Here is a 12,121-nt window from a genome sequence, read left to right as displayed (position 1 = left end):
GTAGTCCCAGCTACTGGGGAAGCTGAAGCAGGAGAATCACTTGAACCGGGGAGGTGGAGGTTGCAAGCAAAATTCCGCCTCCAAAAAAAAAAAAAAAAATTGTAATTTAAAATAATTTTAGGTTTACAGAAAAGTTACAAAAATAGTACAGATTTCCTACAAACCTTTCATCTAGCTTCTTCTAATGTTAATAATGTCTTATATAATCATAGGACAATTACCAAAATTTAGGAAGTGGTAGAACACTATTAACTAAACTATAAACTCTACTCCTTTATTTATTTATTTATTTATTTATTTTCCGAGACAAGAGTGTTGCTCTGTTGCCCAGGCTGGAGTGCAGTAGTGCCATCTCAGCTCACTGCAACCTCCACCTCCCAGGTTCAAGCAATTCTCCAGCCTCAGCCTCCAGAGTAGCTGGACTACAGGTGCGTGCTACCACACTGGGCTAATTTTTGTATTTTTAGTAGAGACGGGGTTTCACCATATTGGCCAGGCTGTCTCGAACTCCTGACCTCGTGATCCTCCCACCTCAGCCTCCCAAAGTGCTGGGATTACAGGCGTGAGCCACCGCACCCAGCCTACTCTATTCAAATTTCACCATATTTTCACTAATGTCTTCCTTTTGGTCTAGGATTCAATCCAGGGTCACATGTTGTATTTCATTATCATTTATTGTATTTCCTCCCATCTGTGACAGTTCCTCAGTCTATCTTTTCGTGACCTTGAGTACTGGTCAGGTATTTTGGAGCATGTCCCCAAATGTGGGTTCCTCTGATGGTTTCTTAGATTCAATTGAAGTTATGCATGTTGGGTGAGAAAATCTCAGAAGTGACATTGTGCCCTTCTCGGCGCATGATATGAAGGTGTTCCTAGGTTGATATGTCTTATGCTGGTGACGTTAGCCTTGATCACTTGGTTAAAGTGATGTCTGATATCTGCCAGACTTCTCCACTGTAAAGTTATGATTTTTCTCTTTGTAATTAATATGCATTTGAATGAGTCATGATTTTTTTTTTTTTTTTTGAGACAGAGTCTCGTTCTGTCGCCCAGGCTGGAGTGCAGTGGCGTGATCTCAGCTCACTGCAAGCTCTGCCTCCCGGGTTCACATCATTCTCCTGCCTCAGCCTCCCGAGTAGCAGGGACTACAGGCGCCCGGCAACACGCCCGCCTAATTTTTTGTATTTTTAGTAGAGATGGGGTTTCACCATGTTAGCCAGGATGGTCTCCATCTCCTGACCTCATGATCCGCCGCCTTAGCCTCTCAAAGTGCTGGGATTACAGGCGTAAGCCACCGCGCCCGACCTTGAATGAGTCATGATTCTTTGGAACTATGCAAATATCCTGTTTCTTCTCAAATTTTTATTTATTTATTCATGGAATCTGAAACTCTATACCCATTAAACATCACCCTTTTTCCCTTTCTCCCTCTTCCAAGCCCCTGGTAAATGCCATTCTACTTTCTGTTTGTATGAATTTGACTGCTATAGGTTTCTCGAATATGTGAAATACAGTACGTGTCTTTGTGTGACTGGCTTGTTTCACTTAGTATCATGTCGGTAAAGTTCACCCATGTAGTAGCATGTGACAGGATTTCCTTCTTTTGTAAGGCTGAACACCATTCCATTGTGTGTATATACCACATTTTCTTTGTATATATCACATTTATCCACTGATGACACTTGGGTTGCCTCCGCCTCTTGACTATAGCGAATAGTACTGCTATAAACATGAGTGTACAAATACCGCTTTGAGGCCCTGGTTTCAATTCTTTTGGATATATATCCAGAAGTGAAATTGCTGAATCATATGGTACTTCTATTTCAATTTTTTTTAAGAAAACACCAGCCGGACTTAGTAGCTCATACTTGTAATCCCAACACTTTGGGAGGCCAAGGTGGGTGGATCACGAGGTCAGGAGATACATCCTGGCCAACATGGTGAAACCTCATCTCTACTAAAAATACAAAAATTAGTCAGGCATGGTGTCGTGCACCTGTAGTCCCAGCTACTCAGGAGGCTGAGGAAGGAGAATCGCTTGAACCCAAGAGGCAGAGGTTGCAGTGTGCCAAGATTGCACCATTGCACTGCAGCCTGGGCGACAGTGAGACTCCGTCTCAAAAAAAAAAAAAAAAAACACATTGTTTTCCACAGCATTTGTACCAGTTTATAATTCCACCAAAAGTGTGCAAGGGTGTCGATTTCTCCACTTCCTTGCCAACACTTCTGTTTTTTTTGGTTTTCTGTTTTGTTTTGTTTTACTAGCAGCAATTGCAATGGGTCAGAGTAGTGATATCTCACTTTGTTTTAGATTTGCGCTTCTCTGGTGATTACTGATGCTGAGCATATTTTGATATGCTTGTTGGTCATTTGTATATCATCTTGTGTCCGGAATTGGTGGGTTCTTGGTCTCACTGACTTCAAGAACGAAGCTGTGAACCCTCCCGGTGAGTGTTACAGTTCTTACAGGCTGCGTGTCTGGAGTTTGTTCTTTCTGATGTTCGGATATGTTCGGAGTTTCTTCCTTCTGGTGGGTTCGTGGTCTCGCTGGCTCAGGAGTGAAGCTGCAGACCTTCGCGGTGAGTATTTTAGCTCATAAAGGCAGTTCGGACCCGAAGAGTGGGCAGCAACGAAAGCTACCGCAAAGACAGAAAGAACATACCTTCCACAGAGTAGAAGGTGACCCCAGCGGGTTGCCGCTGCTGGCTCGGCAGCCTGCTTTTATTCCCTTGTCTGGCCCCACCCACATCCTGCTGATTGGCCCACTTTACAGAAAGCTGATTGGTCTGTTTTGACAGGGTGCCGATTGGTGCGTTTACAATCCTTTAACCAGACATAAAGATTCTTCCAGTCCCCACTAGACTCAAGAGCCCAGCTGGCTTCACCCAGTGGATCCCACACCGGGGCTGCAGGTGGAGCTGCCTGCCGGTCCCAGGCCATGTGCCTGCACTCCTTAGCCTTTGGATGGTCCATGGGACCAGGCGCGGGGGAGCAGAGGGCAGCGCTTGTCAGGGAGGCTTGGGTGACGCAGGAGCCCACTGCCGCGGGGGGAGGCTCAGGCATGGCAGGCTGCAGGTCCCGATCCCTGCCCCGCGGAGGCAGCTGAGGCCGGGCGAAGATTGGAGCCCAGCGCTGGTGGGCCGGCACTGCTGGGGGACCTGGCACACCCTCCACAGCTGCTGCCCCGGGTGCTAAGCCCCTCACTGCCCGGGGCTGGTGACGCCGGCCTGCTGCTCCCAGTGTGGGGCGGCCAAGCCCATGCCCACCCGGAACTGCACTGGCTTGCGAGTGCCGCCGCGCAGCCCTGATTCCCGCCTGCGCCTCTCCCTCCACACCTCCCCGCAAGCTGAGGGAGCCGGCTTCCACCTCGGCCAGCCCAGAAAGGGGCTCCCACAGTGCAGAGGCAGCCTGAAGGGCTCCTCAAGCGCAGCCAGAATGGGCGCCCAGGCGGAGGAGGCACCGAGAGCGAGCCAGAACGAGCAAGGGCTGCGAGGGCTGCCAGCAGGCTGTCACCTCTCAATCTTTGGAGAAATGCCTATGCAAGTCCTTTGCCCATTTTAAAATTGGGTTATTTGGTTGGTTGTTTGCTTTGTTTTGTTTTTTAGATGGGGTCGCACTCTGTCACTCAGGCTGGAGTGCCCTGGCGCAATCTTCGTTCACTGCAACCTTTGCCTCCTGAGCTCAAGTGATCCCCTTATCTTGGCCTCCCAAGTCGCTGGGACTACAGGTGCCTGCCACCATGCCTGGCTAATTTTTTATAGTTTTGGTAGAGATGGGGTTTCACTATCTTTCCCAGGCTGGTCTTGAACTCCTGAACTCAAGTGATCCACCCACCTCGGCCTCCCAAAGTGCTGGAATTACAAGCATGAGCCACCATGCCTGGCCTGGTTATTTGATTTTTTGTTGTTTTTAAGTTGTAGGAGTTATTTTCATATTCTAGGCATTAACATCCTCCCAGATTTGTGATTTGAAAATATTTTTTCCTATGCCATAGGTTATCTTTACACTCTGCTGATTATGTTCTTTGATGCACAAAGGTTTCTACATTTAATGTAGCCTCCTATGATTATTTTTGCTATAGTTGCCTGCACTTCTAGTGACATATCCAATAATTCATTGCCAAGTCCAATGTCGTGAAGTTTTTCCCCTTTGTTTTCTTCTAGTTTTATAGTTTTAGATCTTACATTTAGGTCTTTAATCCATTTTTAATTTTTGTGTATTGTTAAGATAAGGGTCCAATTTCATTATTTTTCATGTATATGTTCAGTTTTTCTCACATCATTTGTTGAGAAGAGTAACCTTTCCCCATTGAATGGTCTTAATGGCCTTGTCATAGATCATTTGACCACACATGAAGGGTTTATTTCTTTTTTTTTTATATACTTTAAGTCCTAGAGTACATGTGCACAACGTGCAGGTTTGTTACATATGTATACATGCGCCATGTTGGTGTGCTGCACCCATTAACTCGTCATTTACATTAGGTATATCTCCTAATGCTGTTCCTCCCCTCTCCACCCACCCCATGACAGGCCCCAGTGTGTGATGTTCCCCTCACACATGAAGGGTTTATTTCTGGTCTTTCTATTCCATCGTTCTATATGTCTGTCTGCATGCCAGTATCACACTGTTTTGATTACTGTAATTTTGTAATATGTTTGAAAACCAGGAAGTGTGATTCCTCCAAATTTGTTCCTCTTTTCCAAAATTATTTTGGGTATTCGGGATCCCCTGACATTCCATTGGAATGTTAAGATTATTTGTTTTATTTCTGCAAAAACTGCCACTGGGATTTTGATAGGAATTGGATCAAATTGGTAGTTTGGTTTGGTTAGTTTGGGGAGTTTAATAGTAAGTCTTCCAATCCATGAGCATAAGATGTCTTTTCATTTATTTGTGTCTTCTTTAGTTTCTCTCAGCAATGTTTGTAATTTTCAGTGTATAAGTCTTTCATCTTCTTGGTTAGGTTTATTTCTAGGTATTTTATTCTTTTTGGTGCTATTGTAAATGGAATTGTTTTCTTAATTTCTTTTCAGATTGTGCATTGTTAGTGTATCGAAATGCAAGAGATTTCAAGTTTTTGACTACTAATTTTAGCATCTATTGATGGAACTTGCCTACAGCAATTATTACTGTGGTGTTTGCCTAATGGCGGTTTTCTATTTCTTTCATCTTTTTACATTTATTAACTGGAATTATTCTGTAAAGAGCTATCTCTTTGCTCCTATAAATTAATTCATTCAATTATTTACAGTCATATATCACTTAATCATGGTGACACATTCTGAGAAATGCATCTTTAGGCAATTTCATTGTGGTGTGAACATCACAGAGTGTACTTACACAAATCTAGATGGTCTAGACTACTATACACCTAGGCTATATGGTATAGCCTATTGTGCCTAGGCTACAAGCCTGTACAGCATGTCATTGTACTGAATACTGTAGGCAATTGTAACACAATGGTATTTGTTTATTTAAACATATCTAAGCATTAAAAAGGTGATGCATTGCGCTACGATGTTACTAGTGCTATGATATCACCAGGCAATAGGAATTTTTAAACACTATTATAATCCTATGGAACCACTGTCGTATATGTGGTCTGTTGTTGACCAAGATGTCATTATGCAGCAAATGATTGTATCTGCATCAATACAAACTTCTGAATTTTCTTCTCTTTTTTTGTTTTGTTTTCGTTTTTCACTCTGTGGATTTCAATCCAATAATATAGTTATTTCTTTTGCTGCTAAGTTTGGTCTAGCTTTGGCCAGTGGGATCTCCTATAGTGGGGGCTCCTGTGTTTTTCTCACCTGCTCCCATTCTTTCTTGAGCACTTAATTTCTGACAACACAAGATGATCCGGGTTTAGCTTAGATTTTTCCCTCCCCCAGCTCTGGAATCATCCGCTTCTCCAAGTAGTCCTGGTTTCTTTGATTGGGAATGGTATTTAGAAACAAAGATCTGTGTACTAAATGTCCTCATTGCTACTAGGGTGTCATTAATTCTAAGCCTTCATAGTGGACATAGCTAGAAAATATATGTATGTGTTCTGATCCACATTTGTGAACACCATTATATTTGTGCCCTCTCTGCATATATATTTAAAACTGTGAGTTCATATTGATACTTCCTATGACAATCCAAAGCCACAGGGTTAATTCTAGCCTTCCCTCTTTCCTTATTTGTAATTTATTTATTTATTTTTATTTATTTACTTATTTTTTGAGACAGAGTCTTGCTGTGTTGCCCAGGCTGAAGTGCAGTGGTGCAATCTTGGCTCACTACAACCTCCGCCTCCCAGGTTCAAGCAATTCTCCTATCTCAGACTCCCAGGTAGCTGGGATTACAGGCACCCACCACCATGCCAGTTTCATTTTTTGTATTTTAGTAGAGACAAGGTTTTGCCATGTTGGCCAGGTTGGTCTCTAACTCCTGACCTCAGGTGATCTGCCTCCCTCAGCCTCCCAAAGTGCTGGGATTACAGGCATGAGGCACTGTGCCCAGCCTGTAATTTATTTATCTGACAGTGAGAAACCCTGAAGATGTCATCTACAATATATTTATTCATCTATTCAATCCAAGTAAACCCATAGTTTCAGAATTGTTAACTCATACCTCTCTAAGAAACACATTTACTAGCTTGAGTACAGTATTTGTGTATAGTTCTTTTTGTTTTCAGTCTTGTAGTGTCCAGTTAAAAATCATACTTTCCTACTTAGGAGGCTGAAGTGGGACGATCACTTGAGGCCAAGAGTTTGAGTCCAGCCAGGGCAACATAGCAAGACCCCGCCCCCCAACTCTAAAAAATAAACAAATCCTATTTTCCAAAGTTTCTAAAATTAGTTCTTTCCTCCCACACTCCCTCACTCTCTTTAGTGTGGCTAATCATTTATAACACAGTTAGGTTCATATGTTGCTATCTGCATTTTATTTTTAAGAGACAGCTCTCACCATGTTGCACTGGGATTACAGGTGTGAACCAGTTTGCCCAGTTTGTCTTCTATTTTTGGTGACCCCACTCCTGTGCCCCATCACGGTTGATTTTAATTTTTCAATTATTTTAGAGGTATGGAAAACATTACTATGTTTCTAGTCCATTGAACCATGTCAAAGGTATATATACAGGAGAAATGTTGTTGGGGTGATCAGGCCCAACACCAGGTCGTGGGGGCGACTAAGTCCAGTGGAGTCAAAGGCATGAGAAAAAGACAGTAAGAGAGAAAGTGGGACCAGGGGGCCATCGCGAGTGTGGAGGCTGCAAAGGCCCTGAGCTCTGGGAGCCCACGCTATTTATTGGTGCTTAAACAAAGAAACAGGTGGTGAGGATGTGGGGGTTGAAAGGAAATGGTGTATCAAGTGAATGAGAAACATATGGCTGCTTGAGATAATGGGAGTGGAAGAAGCAAGGAGCCAGCAAGTCTAGCAGACATGCAAGCCCTGCCTCAGCTTCTTTCCCAACACTCAGCTTTTCTCCCAACAAAATGTCTCTCTGTTCCTATTTCATACCTCTTCTTCTTTCTTATGCCCATCCTTCTCTAAACAATTTGTTTAGTTTGATTTATCCTTCCTGTATTTTTTTTTTGCATAAATGAGCAACGTATGGGTATTTTAAAAGCTCTTTTTACATACTGACAAATTACTCTCCAGAAAGGCTGCTTCAATTAACACTCCTATGAAGAGAACATAATAGTTCCTGTTTTACTGTAACCTGAGCATCATGGATAGTTTAGCTTTTAAATCTTGCATAATTTGATAGGCAAAAAAAATCAACTTATTTTCCCAGTCTACATTTCTCTGACTTGCGGAGAAGTTACATATGCTTCAAATATTTCTTCCCTGGTTGTTTTCCTTTTCAGCCAGCCCTCTGTTCTTGACCCATTCATCTTTTGCATACTTAGAGAGTTTCTTATCTATTTTCATAGGCTCCTGCACGATGAGGATAATAACTCTTCATCCCCCATCACTGTTTGTACGTTCCTTTACAGCAGGGGTCCCTAGCCCCCAGGCCAGTACTGCTCTCAGCCTTTAGGTGTGAGGAACCCGGCACAAAGCAGGAAGTCAGCAGAGTAAGCAAAGCTTCATCTGCATTTACAGCCACCTCCAACAGCTGAAATTACTGCCTGAGCTCTGCCTCCTGTCAGATCAGCCACAGCATCAGATACTCACAGGAGCAAGAACTCTGTCGTGAGCTGTGCATGCGAGGGATCTAGACTGCGTGCTCCTTATGAGAGTCTAATGCCTGATGACCTGTCGCTATCTTCCATCACCCCCAGGTGGGACGATCTAGTTGCAAGAAAACAAGCTCAGGTCTCCCACTAATTCTACATGATGGTGAGTTGTAGAATTATTTCATTATATATTACAATCTAATAATAATAAAGTGCACAATAAATGAAATGTGCTCGAATCATCCCAAAACCATCCCTCATCCCTGGTCCGTGGAAAAACTGTCTCCCGTGAAACCAGTCCTTGGTGCAGAAAAAGATGGGGACTACAGCTTTAGAGTAGCCACAAATCCTCCTAAAATGCTTTCCCCAAAGAGATGCTAAGATGATCTCTTTCAACCAAAGCAACACAAATCTAATTTTAAAGGGTTTGGGGAATAAAGGATCACTGTAAAATCCAATGACTCCTTGATAACGGGGCAAGGAATACCTCTCTAGTCTTGTTTACACATATAAAGTTTATGAGGTTTATGAGTTTTGTTTGAAATGAGTGAGTGATATTGAACTAGATTTCACATATATTGATTAGTTTCAACTACATACACTCTAACTCATTGTAAGAAATGCATTTTGAGAAGTTTTGAGTCTGCGCTTGGTTTCATATAAATTGTTGAGTTACATATATTTGTTAGCTCCAATGGGCAATAAGAAGTTTTCTTGGAAAGGAACAAGTGATTTTGAGTTTGGTGTCATGTAAACTGCTTAGTATTAACTAGATTTTCTTGAATGCCTTGTAAGAAATTAATTTTAAAAAGAATGATCAATTCGGAGTTTGACATAAATTGCTTAGTTTTGTCTAAACTTGCTCTAACTCACGTTTCATTTAAATTAAAAGTGTCCTTTCCTGCTTGCTTTCACAAATTCTGCTTAGTTTCATTTAGCCCTGTCACCTTAAGAAGTTACTTTTGTTATGAATGTGTGATTCTTGACATTGTTTTCACTTAACCTGCTTTGGTTCATGTTAAGTTGCTCTAGCTTGAAGTAGGATGGTGCTTTGAGATGAATGTACATTTCCAAGCCTGCTTGTACAGGTACAGTTTATAGAGCCCTTAGGAAGCATTGGAGAAGAAGTGTGTGCTTCTGGTTGCTTGGAAAGAGGCACACACTTATTTTGTGAGTTATGATAAGCATGTATAGACAACAAGCCTCATCATGACTGCCCCCTGACAGTGATTGTAAGACACACCTCAATTTCACAGATGTTAAAATGTGAAGATATCAGCCTAGGGAACATAGTAACACCATCTAGTTGCTACAAATAATAATTTAAAAAATTAACTGGACCCGGTGGCACATGACTGTGGTGCAGTTACTTGGGAGGCTGAGGTGGGGGAATCGCTTGAGCTCAGGCAGTCGAGGCTGCAGTAAGCCATCATTGCACCATTGCACTCCAGCCTGGGCAACAGTGTGAGACCCTGTCTCTAAAATAATAATAAAAATAATTAGCTGAGTGTGGTGGCACATGTCTGTGGTCCCAGGTACTTGAGAGGCTGACTTGGGGGAATCACTTGAGCTCAGGTAGTTGAGGCTGCAGTAAGCTGTGATTATACCATTGCACTCCAGCCTGGGCAATAGTGCAGGACCCTGTCTCTAAAATAGTAATTTAAAAAATTAGCTGGATGTGGTGGTGCATGTCTGTGGTTCCAGCTTGGGAGGCTGGAGTGAGGTAATCACTTGAGCCCAGGCAGTCAAAACTGCAGTAAGCTGTGATTGCGCCATTGCACTCCAGCCACGGCAATGGAGTGAGACCCTGTCTCAAAAAAAAAAAAAAAAAAAAGACAAGATACAGTGAAGATAAAAATGTGTGACATGGAATTTAGGAAAGAGAACTGATGGCTTGGACAGAGGGACACACCTTAGTGTAGTGTATTTTTTCACCACTGTAATTCACTACGAAGAATATCTCTGAAAATAAAGTTTTGTGAGAATCTGTAGCAGAGAATCTCTTTCTACAGGCAAATTCCTAAAATTTGGTAGATTAAAAGATAGTATTTTATTGCTGCTTCGATCTGCATTTTTGCACTGATACGGAACTTCCTTTCTTAAGTTCACTGGTCATTTGTATTTTCCTCTTGTACCTTGCCTGTTAATGCTGTTGTCCAACTTTTCTCCCAGGTACTCGTCTCATTTGCATTGCTAAATAAGAGCAGATTATATGATAAGAACCTCAACCATGCCTGACATATGTTTCAACCTTTCCCAATTTATATTTTGTCTGTTAGTACTGGGGTGTTTTGGATTTTTAATATGTTCATAATAAAACATCTAAAATATATAATAAAAATTTTTAAATAATAAAATAAACACCATTACTTTGCTTTATAAAATCTTAACATTAGTCTGTATTTAGTTCAAACACTTTTTAAGTTAAATTTCACAGATTAATGTGGGGTCGCCATGTCCCTTTTCCAATCCCAAGCTCTTTCCTACTGCTCCAGTTAGCTAACCACTATCATAAGTTTGTTATATTATTTCTAGATATTTGCTACAAATTTAGATTTCTACAGACTTTCCATGATACTGTTCTCCATGATTTAAACTTATATAATACATATACAATGTGTATTTGGCATACATCCCTCTGCACATACAAGAGGACTTCAAAAAGCTTGTGGAAAATGAATTAAAAGATAAAAATGTAAGCCCAACACTTTAGCAGGCCAAGTAGGAAGATCACTTGAGGCCAGGAGTTTAAGACCAGCCTAGGGCAACATAGGGAGATCCCATCTCTATAAAAAATAAATAAATTAGCCAGGCGTGGTGGCTCATGCCTGTAATCCCAGCACTTTGGGAGGCCGAGGTGGGTGGATCACCTGAGGTCGGGAGTTTGAGACCAGCCTGACCAACATGGAGAAACCTCGTCTCTAGTAAAAATACAAAATTAGTTGGGTGTGGTGGCACATGCCTGTAATCCCAGCTACACTGGAGGCTGAGGCAGGAGAATTGATTAAACCCAGGAAGAAGAGGTTGCAGTGAGCTGAGATCATGCCATTGCATTCCAGCCTGGGCAACAAGAGTAAAACTCCATCTCAAAAACAAATAAATAAATAAGCCAGGTGCGGTGGCATACACCTGTACTCCCAGCTACTGGGGAGGCTAAGGTGGAAGAATCACTTGAGCCCAGGAGTTTGAAGCTGCAGTGAGCTATGTTCTTGCCACTGCACTCCATTCCAGGTGACAGAGAAGACTCTTGACTCAAAATAAGATAAAATAAAATAAAATAGTAATAAACGCAAAAAAAATACAAACTACATTTCATCGTAAGTTTCATCAGCTTCAAGACACTTCTGTAAGTGATGATAGCAACTTACTCCATCCCTAAAGAATTGAGTGAGGGTCCTGGGAATTTAACCATGTTATTGCCGTCTTTTTAACATTATTAGTTGAAGGAAAAAAAATGGGTGCTCTTTAAAGATTTTTTAAGATTAGGAAACTAAAATATATCAGAAGGAGCTGAATCAGGACTGTAAGGTGGATAGTTAAGGATTTCCCACTGAAACTCAAAAAATTGCCCCTGTTTGATGAGAGGAATGGACAGGAGTATTGTCAGGGTAGAGAGGGACTCTCTGGCGAAGCTTTCGTAGGCATCTTTCTGCTAAAGCTTTGGCAAAACTTCTGAAAACACTTTCCTAATAAGCAGATGTTATCATTCTTTATCCCTCCAGAAAGACAAAGCAAAATGCCTTGAGCATCCCAAAAACTGTTGCCATGACCTTTACTCTTGACTGGTCTGCTTTTGTGTTGGCTGGACAACTTCCACCTCTTGGTAGCCATTGCTTTGATTGTGTTTTGTATTCAGGATTGTACTGGAAAAGTCATGTTTCATCTCCTGTTACAAGTCTTCAAATAAGTGCTTCAGAATCTTGATCCCATGTGTTTAAAATTTCCAACAA

The sequence above is a fragment of the Homo sapiens genome, chromosome 7 (genome assembly GCF_000001405.40).
Source record: "Homo sapiens chromosome 7, GRCh38.p14 Primary Assembly".
NCBI lineage: Eukaryota > Metazoa > Chordata > Mammalia > Primates > Hominidae > Homo > Homo sapiens.
Note: the sequence above shows the minus strand (reverse complement) of the source record.